This window comes from Homo sapiens, chromosome 21, assembly GCF_000001405.40.
Source record: "Homo sapiens chromosome 21, GRCh38.p14 Primary Assembly".
Lineage (NCBI taxonomy): Eukaryota > Metazoa > Chordata > Mammalia > Primates > Hominidae > Homo > Homo sapiens.
In genome coordinates, this window is record NC_000021.9 from 20,570,572 (window position 1) to 20,593,482 (window position 22,911).

Consider the following 22,911-nt stretch of genomic DNA (forward strand, 5'->3'; position numbering starts at 1 on the left):
CAAACCATATAGAAGGAAGAAACGTTTTCTAAGTGTGTCAGGCCAGTATCACTCTGATACACAAATGCAACAAGCACATCAAAAGAAAACAAAAATGTCAACTGATATTGTTATAGAAATAAGACTTGGGCATATGTTGCTTTTTTAAAGCCAGTTGGGACCATTAGTTAATTCAAAATCCACTGGCAACAAATTCAAGTTTTTACCTGTCCAGTTGCTTTACATATAACCTCAATAAGCAGATTTTTACCCATTTAGAGTCTATCTGTTTTGCACACTCCAAAAAACTACACCCCAAATCTGCTATCCATAGATAAGAAAACCCCTGAGGCCATAAAAGACCAGGAGCGCTGCTGCTCTTAGGAGTTCTCTGACTCAGAGACTCCCATCATGCTGATCCATGTCATCACTTTAACATGTAAGGCCCTGCCTGTTCCCTTGTCTCTGAGGTACGTTTTCCTTCTTCTCCTTCCCAGTGGTGGCCTTGCACTTTTGTGTCTGAAAGGACTCATGCTGTGAGGGACTTACCCTCCAAGGCAAGCCAGTCAAAAGTACCATCCAAGGAAAAATTGTGTGCTACTGCCTCCTTGTGATCTTATCCATTTCCTTGATCAGCCCTGAAATCTCAAACTCCCTGTACTTAAGTATATAGATGCAAAAGTTCCTAATGAAATATTAATAAACCAATTTTATCAATATATTGAAAGACTTATACCCTATGAATACATGGGTTTTATCTCCAGAATACATGAGAGGTTCAACTTTTTTTAAAAAAAATAAATACATGTAATACACCAGTTTAATAAAATAAAGGATAGAAATGCTTTATCATTTCAATTGAAGTAGAAATAACATTTGAAAAATCCAGCACATTTTCATTAAAAAGAAAAAAAAACACTCAACAAACTAGAAATAGAATGACACTTCCTCAGTCCAGGGTCATATAAAAAATCGCACACCTAACATCATAATCAATTGTAAAAGACTCAAAACTCTCTCCCTAAAATCAGGGAGAGAACAAGGATGTCTGCTCTTGCCATTTGTTTTCAAATTTGCATTGGTGGTTCTAGCCAGGAAAATTAAGCAAGACAAACAAATAAAATTCATTAAGGTAGAAGCAAATATGTAAAACTATCTTTATTTGCAGATTACATGATCTTGTATGTAGAAAAACCCTAGGGAATTCATAAAACAATGCTAATAAACAAGTTTATCACAATTATAGGATACAACATTATAATACAAAATCAGTTGGACTTCATTATAATTTACAAATATCGTACTTCTAAAAACACTTGGAAAGTGAAAAGACTACTCAAGTAATAGAAGACTTTTTTTTGCAAATGGTATGCCGGATCAAGAGTCTACTATCTAGATTATGTATGGAACTCCGACAACTTAACAATAAAAATGACAAATGAACTAAGTATACAAATGAATTAATTATTTGAATAAATATTTCACCAAAGAATATATAACCATGACCAATAAATACATTAAAAAATCATTTATCCTTATGGATATTCAAATAAAAATTCCAAGAGAATACCACTTCTCATACACTAATATGGCTATCAGCAAAAAAAAACAGGCAATAACAAGTAATGACAAGGATATAGAGAAATATGAATCCTTACGTATTGCTGATAGAAAGGTCAATGGCGCAGGACTTCAGAAGACACTTTGGCAGTTCCTCAAATAGAATTATTTGAATTTATTTAAATTACTTGAACATAAAATTACCATATGACCCAGCAATATCACACTTAGGTGTATGTATTGAAGATAATTTTAAAAATATGTTTACAAAAAATTGTATACAAATGTTCAAAGTAGCACTATTTAGCCAAAATGTAAAAAAAAAAAAAAACAAACCCAAAGGTATATTAAGTGATGAATAGATAAAAGGTATTTTCGTCCAATGGAATATTATCTGGAATAACAGTAATCATGGGTACATATGAAAACATAGAAAACATAGATGAATCTTGAAGACATTACACTAAACAATAGAAGTCATACTCAGAAGACTAAATATGTATCAATTGCTTTGTATGAAATGTTCTGAATGGGGAAATTCATAGAGATAGAAAGTAGGTTCGTGGAATTCGGGACTGGGTTTGGAGAAGGTGATAACAAGAATGAGCATTGATTGCTAATGAGTACTCCGTTTCTTTTATGAGTGATAAGAACTTTTAAAAATTATAGTGATGATTGCACAATCTTGTGAATATACTAAAGTACATTGAACTGTATAATTTAAATGGGTGAATTGAATTACGTATGCATTATATAAAACTGTGAAAATAAATCTTCATGTTTAAAATAAGATTACTTCAAGCATTTAAATTCTATGATTAGGGGCTCTTTTCAACAAGGAGTCTTTTTGTAAAACATATATACAATTCAAAAATATAAAGATATCAAATAATTCAACTAATAAATCAAACCTAACCCTATCAACCAAAAACTTCAACTATTAAATGTTTACTTTTTCTATGCCCTTAGTGGTCTCTATAGCCAAATTGCCTAGAATTGAATCCTAACTCACTATTTATCTTTTGTGTTACTTTGGTTAATGTATTTAACCTCTCTGCGCCTAAGTTTCCTTTTGTTAACTCAGAAGGTTCTAGTGAAGACTAAATAACTCAATTTCCGTAAAGTGAGTATAGCAATACCTGGCATGTAATAAAAGCCACATAACTGTCAATGTTATAACAATAACACATACAAGCACACACACACACAAATGTCTTTGCACATATAAATGTTAACATGTGTGTTGACACTTAGTACATAATTGATATTATTATAATCACTTTGACTGTAAGAATAACCTAATTAAGATTTACAAAATTGATGTCTTTGAACTTTTTTCACTTAAATGTACATTAAGATTGAACATAAATTTATATGGTTTTATGTGACAATCATTGCTTATTAAAATTCTAGCACATAGAACTTTATGCAGAAACAATAAAAGAATATAAAGGAAGAATATATGTAAGTTTGAAAACCAAAGGGTAGACTAAATAGAATAGTTCGTGAGGTGTTTAATAATAATGTTTCTTGAAAAATATTCCTTGTAAAAATATATTAATAAGCTTTTCAGTCTAATTGCACAAGTGTTGATTTTTAAATGAATAACAATTTGTAATGTTAGCTGATCTTATTTTTTATAAGCCTATGTCTCCAGCAAATCAGAAAATTTTGAATCTAAGGAATTTTATATAGCAAAGTAGTATCCATTACACTTGGGATTGAAAATATCTTTCCAAATCATTAATAGCTTTAATATCCAAAGAACTACGATACTGCCTCAGGAAAAAAATATCAAAATTTCTGTGGCCATTTACACATTTTCTTTTCTGTTTTTATATGTACAGAACACTGAAGGCTGAGAGATAAGAAATAAGAGAAAAATAATAAAATAGACAAACAAAGAGATAAAAATTTATTAAAACTTAAAATATATATGAGTCGACTAACTAAAAGAAAAATTATTTATGTCCTTTCAAGGTATGGACTCTGTCTATTGCATTGTTTTCACTGTTTTATATATATCAAATAAAATTGCAGTGTTTTTATGTGTGTGTCTGGGTGTGTGTTTATGTGTTAATGAACAAACAAAGGAAAAATTATCTAAATTATAAGCCATTTTAACTATATGATTCTGAACTTATTAAATAGTGTATTTTTGAATTCTTATTGATTTTGTCTCTGAAGAGGCCACTGAACCTGTCATGCATGAAGAAATTGCTTCGGAGGGCAACAGATTTATCTGGGCAATTACTATATTGACTAAGGAACCAAGGAGCCCAAGTTCCTTCTTAACACAATTGTTATTTCATTGACTAGTGTTACATGAGAGACAAGGAGAGTCAGAGTTCAAGGACAGCGGAACGATGATGGTCTCCTGGGAACGAAGCGCGATGCTCCATAGAGACTTGAATTCTAGAATAAATCGCTGGAATTGTGTTGGCAGCAGTATGGATCCATTGTTTGAAACTAAATTCATCACGGTGGTTGCCACGCTGACTGAAATAAATGCCCAACAATATACAAACGCAACCATTGTTCCCCAGTGGGAATTATTTTAGTCATTGTTAGTGTGTTTTTTGTTGCTTACATTATATCTGGAAATGCAACTGATATTTGGGAGGCAACTAATATCACAAACAACAAGAAGTTAATTTAACAGTGTTATATTTTTTCTTTCTAGTACTAATTTATTTTAAATGGCATACCATGGCCCATAAAAAACTTACATAAGTTTCAAGTCTAAATTGTATGATAAGCCCAATTTCTCAAAAAGAAAATGGCCATTATTAGAAGTTATATTCAATGCAGCAACTAGCCTCAATGAGAAAAGTCATACATATGCTGGTGTTTAAATATTCAGTGTAAATGTATGTTGTCCACTTCTTATTACTTGATGAATACTAAGGGAAAAATAAGCCTGAGTGAAGAAATAAAGACTTCTTGTGGGTTAAAAACTACAAAATTGGTCAGGTGCAGTGGCTCACGCCTGTAATCCCAAAACTTTGAGAGGCTGAGGTAGGCAGATCACCTGAGGTCAGGAGCTCAAGACCAGCCTGCCCAGCATGGCAAAACTCCGTCTCTACTAAAAATACAAAAAATTAGCCCGGCATGGTGGCAGACACTTGTAATCCCAGCCACTCAGGAGGCTGAGGCAGGAGAATCGCTTGAACCCGGAAGTCGGAGGTTCCAGTGAGCCAAGATCACACCACTGCATTCCAGCCTGGGTGACAGAGAGAAACTCCATCTCAAAAAACAAACAAACAAACAAGCAAACAAAAACACTACAAAATTAGCTTTGTTTTCACGTATTCCTTTCTCAGGTACTTTATATGGGACCTCTTTGTTTCTTCTCACTATCATAATTCATCCTTTGCCCCGAGTCTTGAGAGAGAACCATTCAGGTTCCCATTGCCCTCTTCCATAAAAATGTCTCAAAACATGGTCCCTAAACCTACCCTCTTGATGTAAAGGTTAATGCTAAAAAAACACAGAAAAGATATAAGCTTAATGCTTTTCTCCATTTATTATTTGCATTCATTTAATAATTATTTATTGAGCACCTGTATGTGTTAAGAGTTGAATGTACAATGACACGCACATTATGTCAAAGAACTTCCAAGTGCTTACGTAAACTTGCTTCTTTGCCAAACATCCTTACGTTCATTTTAATTTAATTGTAAAGTAAACTAAAACACATTGACACACACATATACACAATGTACTTAAAAGTGGTCATTGTTTCAAACTGCATAGTTATTAATAATGATATTACCAGGAGTAGCTTAAAATGGTGACAACTGGTTTGATTACAGGTTTACTTGCAATTAAGGTAGAAATTTGTCAATGTTTAAAAAATGTAATTATTTTAGTATTTGATCACAAAGAATTAAGTGAAATAAACATAAACGTAGAAATGAAGAGTACATACTTTTACTGATGTATCTTTAACAGTTTTGTATTTTAATCCTTAGAAATATTCATATAAACCCAAACATTTTGGCTTAAAGTGCTATATTTTGACAAATATTTGAGGACTTTTCATGGACTCTAATGTGGTTTAAATTATGTCTCCTCTGTGTATTTATCTCATAATCTTCTGCAAAGTAGTCAAATGGCTAAGCCTCAGATATATTACCTGCAAAATAGAAATAATAATACCTATGGGCAGATTTATTATCAAGATTAAGATAACATAGGCAAAGTAATTAGCATAAGCGTCTAGCACACATTAATATCAATAAGTGGTAGCTGTCATTTGAGGGCATATTTAGCAATAGACCATCTTCCTTCCCACAAATGAAGTACCTCCCAGTAAGCAAACGATGGAGATATAATTCCTAAAGCCACATTTCTAAACCTTATGGCGCTAACACCAGATTTGGAAAATTCTTGAATATACATAGATTTGGAAGTGGAGAAATGAAAAGTATTCTCAGAATTGGACAATGTTTCCTTGGAATTGCTTTCATCACTTCAAGACTTCTCTCAGCTATGAGATATCATTTATCTACTAATTTTCCTGAGTATAATTTTTGCTGTTCACTTCTAGATTGCAATAAATCTTTTATTTCTATAGTAATGATATGAAATATGAAATTTCACTACTCAAAAATCTTACATATTTTAAGTTTTTATGTCCTATATCAAAGCAAAATGTATGTAATTAACTCCTATATTCCAGAAAAACATTGCTTTATTAATTACATTAATAGGTGTGATTTTCTTTATTAAATTATATTTTACTTAAGGCTCAAATCAGCCCTATTTTTTATGTTAGTGAAGTTTTCCTACTCATTAATGTGAAATGTTTGCTCAAAGACGTAATAGGGCACTGTTAATGGAAAGGATTTCAGCGAAGTGTGAACCATTTACAATTAGGTAATACCAATCATGGTGAGAAAGAAGTTCCAGAAAAACTAACAGTGTTAATATTAAGTGTATCATGGTGCCTGCAATCCCAGAACCTTGGGAGGCCAAGGTGGGCAGATCACCTAAGGTCAGGAGTTCGAGACCAGCCTGGCCAACGTGGTGAAACACCGACTCAACTAAAAATACAAAAATTAGCCAGGCATGGTGGCTCGCACCTGTAATCCCAGCTACTCAGGAGGCTGGGGTGAGAGAATCACCTGAACCCGGGAGGCAGAGGTTGCTGTGAGTTGAGATTATGCCATTGTACTCCAGCCTGGATAAAGGAGTGAGACTCTGTCTCAAAAAAAAAAAAAAAGTATGTCATGGAAATGTTTAATACTTACTAGAGTAAATCAAGCTAAAAATTAAAGTACTGTTAGCAAAACATTTTCAGAATGCAGTGTCACTTGGGAATGAGAATGAGTTTAAAAGAAGGAGCATAAGAGTTAAAAGTAAAATGTTAATAAATGTTTAAAATTACAGTATTTTATAATAAAAATGATAAGTTAAACCATCAAGATTGTCTGTTGAAATTTCCAAGTGGACTTACTGTAATTCTAAAAATTCTTTTTTTAGAATTTTAGATGACTTAGAAACTCATCAAAGTCATTTAATATTCCATAAAAATAACTAAAAAATAAGTTTATTCCTTTAAGAACAATTATATCCACAAAGAAGAGCAAATGTCAGAAAAAAATATATTAAGCAAGTAGAAACATATGTGAAGACTATCTCATTTGTGAAAAATTAAAATCCTTCCAAAATGGAACTCTTTTGTGGCATATCATGAAATTATAATTGAACTAAATCCAGAGTATATCCAGAGTTGAGCACTGTGAATGAATGAATGTTAGATAAATATACAGAAACAGAGTGTGGCTGTGGAGTGTATACACCTGTCTTATATCAGTGAGAGGGATCGTATGCTCATCAAGATTATCTACTCATCGGGGATTCTTTCTAAACCTTCTTCTTTTTTGTTGTTGTTTCTTTTTTTATAATTTTTATTTTTATTTTAAGTTCCAAGATACATGCGCAAGATGTGCAGTTTTGTTACACAGGTAAACGTATGCCATGGTGGTTTGCTGCACCTATCAACCCATCGCCTAGGTATTAAGCCCAACATGCTTTAGCTATTTTTCCTAATGCTCTCCCTTTCCCTACCATCCCCCAACAGGCCCCAGTGTGTGTTGTTCCCCTCCCTGTGTCCCTGTGATCTCATTGTTCAGCTCCCAATTATAAGTGAGACCATGTGGGGTTTGGTTTTCTGTTCCTGTGTTAGCTTGCTAAGAATAATGGCTTCCAACTTCATCCATGTCCCTGAAAAGGACATGATATTGCTCTTTTTTATGGCTGCATAGTATTCCGTGGCATGTACGTACCACATTTTCTTTATCCAGTCTATCATCAACGAGTATTTGAGTTGATTCTATGTCTTTACTATCATGTATAGTGCGGCATTGAACATATGCATGCATGTATCTTTGCAATAAAATGATTTATATTCCTTTGGATATATACCTAGTAATGGCATTGCTGGGTCAAAGGATATTTCCGGTTCTAGATCTTTGAAGAATTACTACACTGTCTTCTATGATGTAGTAAACCTTCCTCTTTAAATTATCCATTTATAAGAGAAATATTTGAAATATTTTCATTTGAAAGAGTGTACTGAAGAAATGTCTGCGTAAAACAAAACACTTCATTCTATATCACGTGGAGTTAGAAATCACTTGGAATGTCCATTAATTCTTGATATTACGATTGAGATTACACACAGATCATATTGACAAATTTTTTTTTTAAAGTTAACCTCTGAAAAAATGTTCTTGCTCTCTTGCTTCTGAGTTTGAAACAGAGTTGAGGGAATATTGTGTTATAACTGACAATGGGAATTAGCACTGGAGTTCAGCTTAGGTAAAATCATTTTCTAAAGTTATGCACTTTCAGTAAGAAAGCAAAATGAGTTACTATTAAGATGTAAAATATGTGGCTGTGAGTACTTATTTTTACATATTGACAAGTTTACTTTCAAAACGTAATTTCAACTACATCCAGAAAAAACTGATATATATATTTTTACACCTATAGACTTATCTAAATGTTAATCATTATACTTAGAAGATGGGACAATGAGATATACATCATATATTTGAGATGATTTTATATGACACAGTTTCATAATCAACCAAAATGGGAAAACATGCAAACATTTGAATGGCTTACATAAGAAACAATCCAAATTAGCTCTCCTCTTTTTAGTCAGAAAAGTATGGATGTAAAATTGTCAGGTACTTATGGAAGTAAATACAGGAAGTTCTTGTGAAATGCATTAGGGTCAACTGGAATTGAATACTTGTTCAACATTTATTGACATTATATTAGCAACAGGTGATGTGAGAAATAAGACAGTCATATTTCTTTTATTTTTTCTTTTTTCTTTTCTTGAGTCGGAGTTTTGCTCTTGTTTCTCAGACTGGAGTGCAGTGGTGGGATCTCAGCTCACTGCAACCTCCACCTCCCGGGTTCAAGAGATACTCCTGCCTCAGCCTTCTGAGTAGCTGGGATTACAGTGGCATGACACCACGCCCAGCTAATTTTTGTATTTTTAGTAGAGACGGGGTTTCACCATGTTGGCCAGGCTGGCCTCAAACTCCTGACCTCAGGTGATCCATTTGCCTCGGCCTCCCAAAGTGTTGAGATTACAGGTGTGAGCCACCATCCCTGGCCAAGACAGTCATATTTCTTAAAACATTTATAGTTATGTAAGATGAACAAAGAAGTCAACAGTTACAATGGGAAGGTATAAATGCTATGGCAGTGAAATGTTGTCAGTTCTATAGGATCTGGGAGAAAATAGGACAGTCTTTGCAAAATTGGAAAAGAAAAAGCACTTCATGTAAAACTAATACACACACACACACACAGTCTAATACTGTTTCAGGGTAGAGAATCAGAATTGGGAAACATGTACACCATCATGATTCTGAGGTATTTGACAAGTCCCTTTACTTCTCCGGTTGATCTCTGGCTTTAAGTTTTAAATTAGAAACATACCATTTAAAATATGTGTACAAATGGAGTGACTTTTTGTGTTCCTCTTTAAAGAAAGCTTCACTGACAATGGAAAAGTTGACATGATTTAATGTTTTTCCCATGAACATAATATTCATATTTGCAGCAATAAAACAGCTTTGCCATTATATTCTATATTCATTAACAAAAAGTACTATTTTAGATTGCTATAACTAATGACAAATTTTAAAAGATTTTATTTATTGGCACTTACCACAAGCCAGGTAGTTTGCTGAAATCATTGCATATACCAACTGATTTAACACCAAGCATACTGTGAGATTGGACTTGCTATCATTTCCATTTTATAAGTAAGAAAACGAGTACAGAGAGAAAAAGACACTTCCCAAAGCCTCCCTGACAGTTAAGGGGAAGAGCCAGGATTCAAGTATAGTTTAAGAGCAAGTTCTTATAAACTACATGCTAAATACATTACAATATCATGTTTTACATTTTTCACTAGGGCTTTTAGGCCAGATGATATAAACTCACATTGATCCCTGTTCCACTGGTGGCAGGCCTGTGCAAACCTACCCCGAAGTCCAAGGAAGCTAAGAGGACAGGGAAGAAAGAGGTTGACATACCCAGTTTCTCAGAAAGAAACATTGAAAAAAGCCATGTCTGTGTCTTGGGCAGCAGTGAGACAAGATGATGAATTCTTGTGCCATCAGCCCCCAGACTCAGGGCTTCTATACCATAGAGAAAGGGCATACATGATTAAGAAGAGATATGTAGTGCAATTGAAGTATGATAAAATCAAGGTTGTTTTGACCTAAGGGCAGGATTTGCATACCTGCTTTTACCTAAGGAACAATAGGTAAGCTAGATATCTTAGACCTTCCTTAAACTAGGGTTAATTAGACATCAGTATAGCAAATTAGCATCCAAGATGGAATTACTTTAGACTCCACAGTCCCATTATATCAACAGCCCTAGCATAGGCCCTTATTTATAAGTACCCAGTGCTATACTGTAAAATAACATTATAACCAGTCTTTTCATTAAAAGACTATTTTAATCGTTCTTCCAAACAGATGTTGGAAGATTTTAAGATTATTGTTATGTTTATACAGATATGCAAGTAGAATAAGAAGAGTACTTTCATATAGCACCATGAGTATGAAAGCAGTAGATACAATTATTAAAAGTATAAAAAAAGTAAAAAATCTTTAAAGGATACACGGTTACCTTTTTAAATCATATCTAACTGCCATGTTTATATGGAAGAAATAAAGAGCACATAGTTATTTCTTAGCCAAAAAAAAAAAAAAAGCCTGTGATTATACAAAGGATATCTAATTAGGGAAAAAATGTAATCATAGCACTTAAAATTAAATTAAATATAACCTGAGTTTCAGTACCAGCTCTGTTGCTAAGAAGCTGTGAGGCCTGTGAAAAATCATTTAATTTCTCTGAGCCTCAGTCTGTTGATCGGTACTAAAGGGAATAGGAATCACAAATTGATCTCTGAGGTCCCCTCAGACTCTCATAAACTATGATGATATGAAATTAGCAGAGTTTGAGTAGAATGAATTCAATAGAGGTAAACATGCCAATTACTGCATACTAATTTAGTGCTTCTCTCTCTGAAAGGCTTGTGCTTTAAAAGACACATATAGCAAATAGAAAAGATTTATGTAGAGATACTCAAACTATTTACCACCATATTTTACTTGCAGAAAAATATTTCCCAAATCAAACATCTTAATACATTTGAAATTTAATAATGAAAGAATTAACTCTAGCAATTTAAAGAGAGGTTTGGGGTTATGTAAAAATCTTCATATCTATATGCAACAGAAAGAATGCTCCATTACAAGCTATATGCATGGCTGTATTTGTGAGGTAGCCTTTTCACTAATTTCCCTTGCATGTTCTATTCAAACAGCTGTTTTTTGTTAGATAAACATTATTATATCTATTACATTCCTTTGCTCTATATTAAAACAAACTTATACGCCACTAAATTCTAACATCATACGTTGGAATTTGATATTGTAAGTATGTCTCTGACATGTATAACTTTTTTGAAATTTTTTAAAAATGTATTGGATATTTTTCTAAGAACAAGTAGGAGTTATATTTTAAATGGAAACATGTTTCTTTTACTAGCAAAAGAGACTCTCCTTCTAGTATTCATCTCTCAAATTCAATGACAACTTATGACAAATTCAAATAGGAGACAACTGTCCTTTCAGAAAAAAACCTCTAAAATATTTTGGGATTTTTTTCCTCCCACATAAAAACCTCTATGTCTAAAAAGATTACGTTAGATTACAAATGCGGAAACAATGACACAAGAGGGGAAGCAGTGAGTGCTTCTATGAAAGAAAAGACTGACTACTCCAAAGATGATATACGTTTTCAAGGCAATGATGGATACCTTTAACATGCCTTGTGAGACAGAAGGATTAGTTCTTTCATCTTTCAGCCTGGCCAACACCTGCGTCCTCATTTTCCTAGGTGTTGAAATAGAAAGAAAGCACGGAGGCAGCACAGCTCTGCTATAAAAGGCTTTGCCTCCAAATACAAAATATAACTTTTGCTTGAATTCCTTTGATTACAAGATGTTTATATGGTCATTTCGATTAGCCTTGCAATGAAGCCAACTGCAAGGACAACTAGGAAATATCTGGGTGCTCACAAAAACAGAGCAAAGAAAATTTTGATTAGCAGTTAGAGACTCAAATGTACCTATGGTTTTTGTATTGTGTTTGTTTTGAGCTGCTACCAGTTAATTCTAACTTTTATGTTATAATGCAGCATAATCAATGTCCTTGAATTAACTTCCTAAAACATAGAGGATAAAAGGCTATATTAACATATTTTTCCAGAAAATGTAAATATACTAGCTAATAAAATAACAAGATCAAATTATAATTGAGAAAGTACTGCTGTTTAAATATTTTTAAACACCTAAAATGGGAAAAAACTTATTAAACATTAGAAAAATATTTTTATGTCTTAAAAAGAATTGCCAGACTGGGTGCGGTGGCTCGCTCCTATAATCCCAGAACTTTGGGAGGCCAAGGCGGGCGGATCACCTGAGGTCAGGAATTCAAGACCAGCCTGGCCAACATGGTGAAACCCCGTCTCTACTAAAAATACAAAAGTTAGCTGGGCGTGGTGGCGCATGCCTGTAATCCCAGCTACTCAGGAAGCCGAGGCAGGAGAATCCCTTGAACCTGGGAGGCGGAGGTTGCAGTGAACCAATCGCACCACTGCACTCCAGCCTGGGTGACAAAAGCAAAACTCCATCTCAAAAAAAAAAAAAAAAAAAAAAAAAAAAGAAAGAATTGACAAACGTAGGAGCAGTTATGTAAATACTTAACATGCTTATTGCTTTATGTAACACAAGCCTTTATCACATTGATTGGAGTTTTTTCTGAGCTATATGTAAAAACAGAAGGTCAGAAAACTTACAAAATCATTATTGTAAAGTAAAGAAGAACTAAACTGTGAAATCATTGCTTTTTTTAGATGAAGTTACTGAAGTGACTCAAGATGCTAAATTCAAAATTTCTTCAGTTACCATTGTACTTGTGGAAAAATATTGTCAAAAAGTGTCATTGTTTATACAGGAAAACTTTCTTTAAAGTTTAGAGTAAGACAATAATCAAATATCACATTATCATGCTGAAAAAAGATGGAAAGTCTATTAATATATATGCCTATATATTTATTTGTTAAGCAAACAATATGTATTTTTTCTATCATGCTATGTTAGAATTTTTGTGTCTAGCTATGATGGAGTAATCATGAACATCTATGAAACTACAGAATATAGGAGGTAAAGATTTTTCAGTATTTTACAGCAGGTAGGAGCAGGACAGGATGTGATATTTGAGAGAAATACATAGAAAGAGGTGAATCCCATATTGGCCCCTGATTTTGGTCTAAGAGAAGTTTCTCAGCGAAAGTGTTGTAAGCTTTTTTCAAATTTTGAATCTTACCTCCTCTTCAGCACAACTTGCCTGCCTACATGTGGAGAAAGTTCTGTGTTTAAAATCTCACGTGATTAGATTGGGCCCGCCGGAATAAGCTCCCTATCTTAAAGTTTGTAACCTTAATTATATACAGAACCCTCACAATTGTTTTCTTCTCTTATTCTCTTAAATGACTGCCATCAGTTTAAAGCAAAAAAAAAAAAAAAAAAAGATAAAATGACTTTATTTCGTTTTGAGAGGAGAAGCCACCTGGACTTCCTGAGTCAAGTGGTAACTTGGAGAACTTTTCTGTCTTACAAGAGGATTGTAAAATGCACCAATCACCGCTCTGTAAACGGCACCAATCAGCATTCTGTACAACGCACCTATCAGCAGGAGTCTAAAAGTAGCCAATCGCAGGGAGGATTGAAAAACAGGCACTCTGATAGGACAAAAACGGAACATGGAGGTTGGGTGCGGTGGCTCACACCTGTAATACCAGCACTTTGGGAGGCCGAGGCGGGTGGATCATGAGGTCAGGAGATCGAGACCATCCTGGCTAACATGGTGAAACCCCATCTCTACTGAAAATACAAAAAATTAGCCGGGCGTGGTGGCGGGTGCCTGTAGTCCCAGCTACTCTGGAGGCTGAGGCAGGAGAATGGCATGAACCCGGGAGGTTGAGCTTGCAGTGAGCCGAGATCGCGCCACTGCACTCCAGCCTGGGAAACAGAGCAAGACTCCATCTCAAAAACAAACAAACAAACAAACAAAAAATAGAACGTGGGAGGGGACAAATAAGGGAATAAAAGCTGGCCACCCCAGCCAGCAGTGGCAACCCACTCAGGTCCCCTTCTACGCTGTCGACGCTTTGTTCTTTGGCTCTTCACAGCAAATCTTGCTGCCACTCACTCTTTGGGTCCATGCAGTCTTTAAGAGCTGTAACACTCATTTCCAAGGTCTGCGGCTCCATCCTTGAAGTCAGCGAGACCACGAACACACACCGGAAGGAACCAAGTCTGGACACAGTTTAACATATTTTACTATATGTAGAAGAAAAATATACAGGAACAATAACATAAATGTTGGGCAGAGGTAAAGGGAGTCATATTTTTCTCATTTTGTTATGATTTACCTGAAGTGGTACAATATTAATTCTTAGCAGACACTTGTAGAAGATGCCTATTTAGATTTCAGGAGCAGTGACTTCCCAAACAAAATATAAAGCAGTATTGCTAGAAAGCAAATAGAGAAAATAAATGGAAAATATTTAGAAGTATTTAATTAACTCAAGACAGGAAAGAGAAAAAACAGAACACACAAACGTGGAAAGGGCAAGGTATAAATGTTTTTAGATGGTATTTAAACATAAACCAAGTATAAAAGACAGAGATTGGCAGCTTTTATGTAAAAAGCAAGACTTAACTATGTGCTGTATTGAAATTTCGTTTGAAAAATCAATCAATGCAATTTACGCCAGTAACCTAATAGAGAAGAAAACATATCATTATTCCCATAGATGAAGAAAAACATCTTGACAAAATGTATTATTTAAACCATTCAGCAAATTAGAAAGAGAAGAAAATTTCCTCAGTTTGAGAAAGGGAATCAATGAAAAACAGCTAATACCACATTTAATGGTGAATGACAGCTTGAAGTTCTCCTGAAATGAGAACAAAGGCAATAAGGTTTATTATCATCACTTCTATTCAGCAACATAATTATGGACTGTAGCCAATTAAATAAGGCAAAAATACGTATAAGAATTGAAAGGAAGAAATAACTGTATTCAGACATAAAACGGTTAGATACACAGAAAATAGTAAGGAATCTGCCACAATTAATGAAATTCATATGTAAGTTTTTCAAGCCCGTGTACTACAAGGCACATATTGCATTCCCTACATACTACCAAAAAAATGGAAAATAAAATTAAGAGCACAATGCCATTTAAAATATCATCAAATTGCTTAAAATACAAGTAAGTTTAGATAGAAAGGTAATAGATAACAGTTGATAGATAGAAAGATAGCTATTGTTATAGGTATTATATGCTAAAAATTATAAAACATTTTAGGAAATAATTGAAGGTGACTTTTAGAAGCTAAGTTATATCGTAGAATCATGGGTGGAAAGATTCAATATTATTAAAAAGTCATACATCTCCATTAGTATATAGAGTCAATCAAAAGAAAATTTCAACAATTTTTATAGCTTCGCTTTAGATATTGACAAGCTATTTACAAACTTATTGAAGAAATGCAAAGCAACAAAGCCAAAATAAACTGTAGAACAAGTTTTTTTTTATATATATATGAAGTCTCGCTCTGTCTCCCAGGCTAGAGTGCAGCGGAGCAATCTCAGCTCACTGCAACCTCTGCCTCCCGGGTTCAAGTGATTCTTACGATTCAGCCCCCCGAATAGCACCACCATGCTCAGCAAATTTTTGTACTTTTAGTAAAGATGGGGTTTTGTCTTATTGGTCGGGCTGGTCTTGAACTCCTGACCTGGTTATCTACCCGTCTTGGCTTCCCAAAGTGCTGGGATAACAGATGTGGGTCACCGCACCTGGCCAGAAAAGATTTTAAAAATGAAAAACTTGGAGGACATTAACGTCTGATTTCACAACTTATTATAATAGTACAATAATTAAGAAAGTGGTATATTGGTGACAGAAAAGGTAAATATGCCAATGGAAGAAGTAGAGCCTATATATATATATACCCAGATATATATATATATATATATATGTATATATATATACCCAGATATATATATATATACCCAGATATATATATATACCCAGATATATATATATACCCAGATATATATATATATATATATATATATATATATATATACCCAGATACATACATATACCCAGGAGGGGTGTGTGTGTGTATATATACCTGGGAGGGGGTGTGTATGTGTCTGTGTGTGTGTATATATTTATAAATTTATATGCAGAAGGGTGTATACACACACACACACTTGGAATGGTGTATATATCCATATATGCACATATATATGTGGGAGTGTGTGTATATATATAGACAAGAGGATGTATATACACACACACACACACACACACACACACACACACACGTATATATATATATATATATATACCCAGGAGGGTGCATATATAGATATATACAGCGAGGGTGTGTGTATATACACACACACACACACACACATATATCCAGGTGTATATAAATATATACATACAAGCGGGAGGGTGTGTATATATATATATATATATATGCGGGAGGGTGTATATATATATACATACACACCCAAGAGGGTGTGTGTATATATATATACCTGGAAGGGTGCATATATATATGTGTATATATATATACCTGGCAGGGGGTATATATACATACCTAGGAGGGGTGTGTGTATATATTTTTATATACCCGGGAGTGGGTGTATATATATATACATACACACTCAGGAGTGTGTGCATATATATGTATCCGAGAGTAGGTATATATGTGTGTGTGTATATATATATGTGTGTGTGTGTACATATATACACACACACACACACATATACACACCTGGGAGTGGGTATTGGAGGGGGTATATATGTAGATATACACCCTGGAGTTGGTATATAAATATACACCCAGGAGTGGGTATATATATATATATATATATATATATATACACACATACCTGAGAGTGTGTGTGTGTGTATATATATATATAAACACCAGAGTGTGTGTGTGTGTGTGTGTGTATATATATATATATATATATATATATATATATGTATATGTATACCTGGGAGTGGGTATGTATATGTATACCTGGAAGTGGGTATATATAGATATATATATCTATATATGCCTGGGAGTGGGTATATGTGTGTGTATATATATATATGGGGGCAGGTATAATATATATATAATGGGAGTGGGTTATGTGTGTGTGTGTGTATATATATATATATATATATATATATATATACACACACACACACATACCCAGGAGGGGTTATACATATATATACGTGGGGTTGGGATGTATATATACCCGGCAGTGGGTATGTGTATGTGTATATATATATATATATACACCCGGGAGTGGGTATATATATATACACCCGGGAGTGGGTATATATATATACACCCGAGAGTGGGTATATACAGCCGGGAGTGGGTATATATATACCCAGTAGTGGGTATATATATACCTGGGGGAGGGAATATATATATATACCCAAGAGGGGTAGGGGTATATATATATATATATATATATGTGTGTGTGTGTGTATATATATATGTGTATATATATATATATATATGTGTGTGTGTGTATATATATGTGTATATATATATATACACACACACACACACACACACACACACACACACCAGGGAGTGGGTATATATGCATATATACAACTGGGAGTGGGTATATATACATATATATATGCAGACACACACCCAGGAGGGGTTATATGTGTGTGTTTGTGTGTGTGTGTGTGTATATATATATATATATATATACCCTGGAGGGGGTATATGTGTGTGCATGTGTGTTTGTGTGTGTGTGCGTGTGTGTGTGTATATACCCGGGAGGGGTATATGTGTGTGTATATATATACCCAGGAGTTGGTATATGTGTATGTATATATACCCTATATAAAAAAATATATAGATATTTTATATCGATATATAGATATGTATCACTGCAATTGGCTACTTTTAGACTCCTGGTGATTGGTGCGTTTTACAGAATATAATATATAAATATATAGATATGGATTTATAAATATATCAATATAAAAAATATATGCCCTGTATGTATTTTTAAAAATCTTGTTTTACAGTTTATTTCGGCTTTGTTGCTTTGCATTTCTTCAATAAATTTGGAAACAGCTTGTCTAGTAATAGATGTTATATACATATATATAACCAATTTGTTTTTTATAGAGCTATGAAAGCATTTAACATACAAAAGAGTGTATTTTCAATAAATTGTCTTGAAGCAAGTGACTATCAATAATAAAAAATAAAACTTGAATGTTACCTCATACCACAGCCTTATTATAATTAATAAATATAATCAATATAATATAATTATAATTATCATAATATAATATATAGTTTTATAAGATGTAGTATTATAACTAATAATTTAGTATTCCAATTAATAATTAATTATAATTATTATAATACAATAATATAATATAGTATTAGAAAACATGATGGTTGCATAGTATAATTAATTATATTAATATAATACTAAAATAGTAATTAATAAAAATAATTAATCAAATTAATTTGTGTATTAGAGTTGAAGAGATCATTTAACTTTGAAATCTAGAACTCTAAAAATTCCTGGAAAAAATATTTCTGACCTTTAGATGAGCCAATATGACAATTTTACAAAGAATACAAACACTTCTTAAAATGATCAATTGGACTTCATCTAAATCAAAAATATATTTGAAAAACAACACTGGAGAAGGAGAGTGAGAGACAGAGAAAGAAAGAGAGAGATTTTAAAAGAAAGTCACTCCTTAAAAGGGAGAGGAAATATTCACAATATACAAATATATGTAATGATTGAGTTGAATGAAGAATCTAGAATATAATGAATAATTAACTATGAGGCAAAAAAAAATGGCTAAAGTCTTGAACAGACATTTCACAAAAAATGTTATGTAAATTACACTTCATTAGCTATCAGGAAAGTGCAAATTAAAACCATAATATAAAGTACTTTTTTTTTACCTTTTCTATGTTTATATATGTTTAGATACACAAATGCTTACCATTGTGTTACAGATGTCCATAGTATTTCATACAAGTAACATGCTATACAGGTTTGTAACCTAGGAGCAATAGCATAGGCCTTAAAGCTAAGGTGAGTAGGAAGCTGTATCATTGAGGTTTTTGTAAGTATACCCTATGATGTTCACATGAAAACAAAATCACCTAATGACACATTTCTCAGAACATATTCCCATCATTAAGTGACACATTACTGTATCATTGTTGCAATGTCTAATTTTTACTTCAATTCTTTCAGTTTCTATTTTATGTCTTTTGTAGATTTGTTGTTAAGTACATATATGTTAATGATTGTTACATCTTTCCGATGGATTGACCCTTTATAATTAGGAAATGTCCCTCTAGTAATATTTTTTTCTTTAAAGACTATGTTGTCTGACAGCTTTTCTGGCTCTTTTTATGATGTTTGCAGAGTATTTTCTTTTTAATACTTTTACTTTCAACCTATTTGTGTTATTTGAATTTCAAATACATCTTCTTTAGAAAGCCTATAGTTGAATCTTACTTAATTCAGCCTGACAGTCTTCACTTTCGATTGGATTATTTAATCCATTCATACGCTGTAATTGATAGGATTTCATTTATATTTTACATTTAGCTTTTTGTTTTTTATATATCTTCTATTTTTTAGTTTCTCCATTTGTTCTTTCTTGCATCCTTTTGCATTAAATATTTTCCAACATTTTAATTCAATTAATATTTTAGTTTTTGAGGTTTTTCTTAGCAGATACACTAGGGATTATGGTATAAATCTTAACTGATCATACTCTAGCTTTATAATGACTTAGTTACAATAAGATGTTAAAATATTCCACCTATACTGTTCATTTCCTTCTCCACTTTTTTATGCAGTTACTGGTATATATACTGTTTATATTTGATATAGACCTAACAGTACATGGTTATACATATTACTTTGTATTACCTTATGTATTTTAAAGAGGCTAACGAAAGAAGAAAAACAAAGACATATTTATAGATTTTGTTATAGCAACCCTTTTATTTACTGTTTCTTGCTCTCTTCATTTCTTGTGGATTTGAGCTACTAACTAGTGTCATTTGTTTGTGCCAATACAGCTTTTTTTTCACTCAACTGTTTTATGCTGTTATTGGCAAATGTATTACATTTCTAAAAGTTATAGGTTCAGCAGTGAAGTACATACATATACTTTTGAGACAATTGCTTTTTAAATCAGTAAAGAGAAGAAAAGAGGAAACAAAATGCAATTATACAGTCTTTTGCAACTACCAACATAATTAGCTTTACCTGCACTCATTGTTTTTTATTCTAATCTAATGTCTCGCTTTTATTTTAAAGAACTTCCTTTAGAATTTCTTGTAAGGTATGTCTTTAAGCAATGATTGTGAAGCTAAAATTGTCTTTATTTTTCATAATTTTTGGAACTTAGTTATAATTAGCAAAACACGAATATAAGACTCTTGATTTGCAATTCTTTTGTTTTGTTTTGTTTTCTTTTCCTACTTTCATCTCTTTGAATCTGTTGTACCATTCTGAAATTCATTGTTGAGATAAGAAGTCAGCCAACAGTCTTACTGGGATGCAAACATGCATACTGAGTCATTTCTCCATTGATGTTTTAAAGATTTTCTCTCTGTCTTTGACTTTTAACATTTGATTATGAGGTATCTGAATGTAGATCTCTTTGTGGTTATCCTCTTTGGAGTTTGTCATACCTCTTGAGTGAGCAGATTAAATTTTTATCAGATCTGGAAGTCTTTCAGCCCTTATTCCTCTATGTTGATTCTTCTTCTTTCTCTCCCTTCTCATACATATTTTCCGGGATAAATGTGTATCACATCCTTTCAGGCACTATTTTTCTTGAATTGTTCTTTGATTGGTGTTTCAGATTACATAATCTCTATTGATCTATCTTCAAGTTTGATCATTCTTTTATTCTCCCAATTCAAAACTATTTTTAAATTCCTCTGGTGAATGTCTAATTTGGGTTATTGCATTTTTCCAACTGCAGAATTTCCATTTCATTATTTATAATAATTTCTATGATTTTATCAATACTCTGTATTTAATAAGATACTTTCATTTTATCTTCTTGCATTTTTTTTTGCATAGTTTACTTTTTGAACATATTTACGGTAGCTACATTGGGTTTGTGATGGCTGATTTTATGGTGAACTTTACTGAGACAGGAAGTGCCAAAAATCGTTATTTCTATGAGTGTCTTTGAGAGTTTTCTGGATGAAATTAGTATCTGAATCAGTGCATTCAGTAAATTAGATGCATCTCCTCCAAATGTGCGTGGGTATTGTTTAATCTTGTGAGGGCCTGCATAAAATAAAAAGGTGGAGGAATGAGAAATTTGCCCTTTTTTTCTTCCTGCTTGCCTCCATAAACTAGGACCTCAGTCTTCTCCTGCCCTCTTTTGGGATTTATATCATCAGCTTCTCTGGTTCTCAGTCCTGTTGAAACAGCCTCGTTGTCTGAGTGCCACATGAATTTCTTTGTCTCACAGCCGAGGAAATCAAGGAAATGGACATTCCAAGGGTGAGGTTAGAGCAGAAGTTTAATAAGTGAAAGAGAGAAAGCTCTCTGCTGCAACCCCCAAAAAGGTTGCTGTTATTACAGTTGAATGCAAAGGCTCTTATAAACAACAAATGAGGGCTGGGCATCTCATTTGCATAAGGAGCAAATTTCTGGCAGCTCCACCCCAATCTGTTGTGCATATGGGCCCTTAGTTTGAGTTACTCCATATTGCTTTGCTCCCCTTACTGTGCCTGTGTTGAGGGATGGAATTTTCCATTGTGGGCATGTCTGGGCAAGTCACATGTGTAGCCTTTCTTATCTATGTGGCTGTGGGCATGTCTTAGGCAAGCCCCTCTGTGTAAGTTCCCTTATCTATGCCTGCAGCTTGAATTTTTAGGCTGTTCTTTGGTTTAAAACAATTTACCCAAGGACCCACCCTAACTGACTGCCTGACCAGTTTCTTCCTTTCTCCTCTCTCATTGTAGTCTCAGATACCACTAGCTTTCCTGAGTCTCAAGCTTGCAGATGGCAGACTGTGGGACTTCTCAGCCATCATAATTGTATGAGCCAGTTCCTCATAATATATTTTCCTATCTTTCATGCGTGTCCATGTGAAGAGACCACCAAACAGGCTTTGTGTGAGAAACTTGGCTGTTTATTTCACTGGGGTGCAGGTGGGCTGAGTCCGAAAAAGAGAGTCAGCGAAGGGAGATGGATTACCATTAGTTCTTATAGGTTTTGGGTTAGGTGGTGAAGTTAAGAGCAATGTTTTGCGGTCAGGGTGGATCTCACAAAGTACATTCTCAAGGGTGGGGAGAATTACAAAGAAACTTCTTAAGGGTGGGGGAGATTACAAAGTACATTGATCAGTTAGGGTGGGGTAGGAACAAATCACAATGGTGGAATGTCATCAGTTAAGGCTGTTTTTACTTCTTTTGTGGATCTTCAGTTACTTTAGGCCATCTGGATGTATACGTGCAAGTCACAGGGGATGCAATGGCTTGGCTTGGGCTCAGAGGCCTGACACTATCTATGTATCTATATGCATCTATTATCTACCTATCATCTATCTCCTACTGGCTTTGTTTCTCTGAAGAACCTTGACTAACATAAGGTTTTTGTCTTTTAGTTCCATCATCTGGGCCCCTTC

At 33.7% G+C, this 22,911-nt stretch overlaps 4 annotated features.

The window, feature by feature from the left end:
* Positions 210–763: an enhancer, noted in NCBI's record as "NANOG hESC enhancer chr21:21943094-21943647 (GRCh37/hg19 assembly coordinates)". NCBI's record gives its function as "activates a minimal SCP1, AML or CMV promoter by ChIP-STARR-seq in naive H9 embryonic stem cells {active_cell/tissue: H9 hESC(naive)}" and the evidence as "EXISTENCE:reporter gene assay evidence [ECO:0000049][PMID:30033119]".
* Positions 11,772–11,972: a silencer, noted in NCBI's record as "peak4374 fragment used in MPRA reporter construct". NCBI's record gives its function as "represses an SCP1 promoter by STARR-seq MPRAs in K562 erythroleukemia cells {active_cell/tissue: K562}" and the evidence as "EXISTENCE:reporter gene assay evidence [ECO:0000049][PMID:32103011]".
* Positions 21,525–22,724: an enhancer, noted in NCBI's record as "MED14-independent group 3 enhancer chr21:21964409-21965608 (GRCh37/hg19 assembly coordinates)". NCBI's record gives its function as "activates an origin of replication core promoter dependent on BRD2, BRD4, P300/CBP and CDK7 cofactors, and independent of MED14, by STARR-seq in HCT116 cells {active_cell/tissue: HCT116}" and the evidence as "EXISTENCE:reporter gene assay evidence [ECO:0000049][PMID:35650434]".
* Positions 21,669–22,170: an enhancer, noted in NCBI's record as "H3K27ac hESC enhancer chr21:21964553-21965054 (GRCh37/hg19 assembly coordinates)". NCBI's record gives its function as "activates a minimal SCP1, AML or CMV promoter by ChIP-STARR-seq in primed H9 embryonic stem cells {active_cell/tissue: H9 hESC(primed)}" and the evidence as "EXISTENCE:reporter gene assay evidence [ECO:0000049][PMID:30033119]".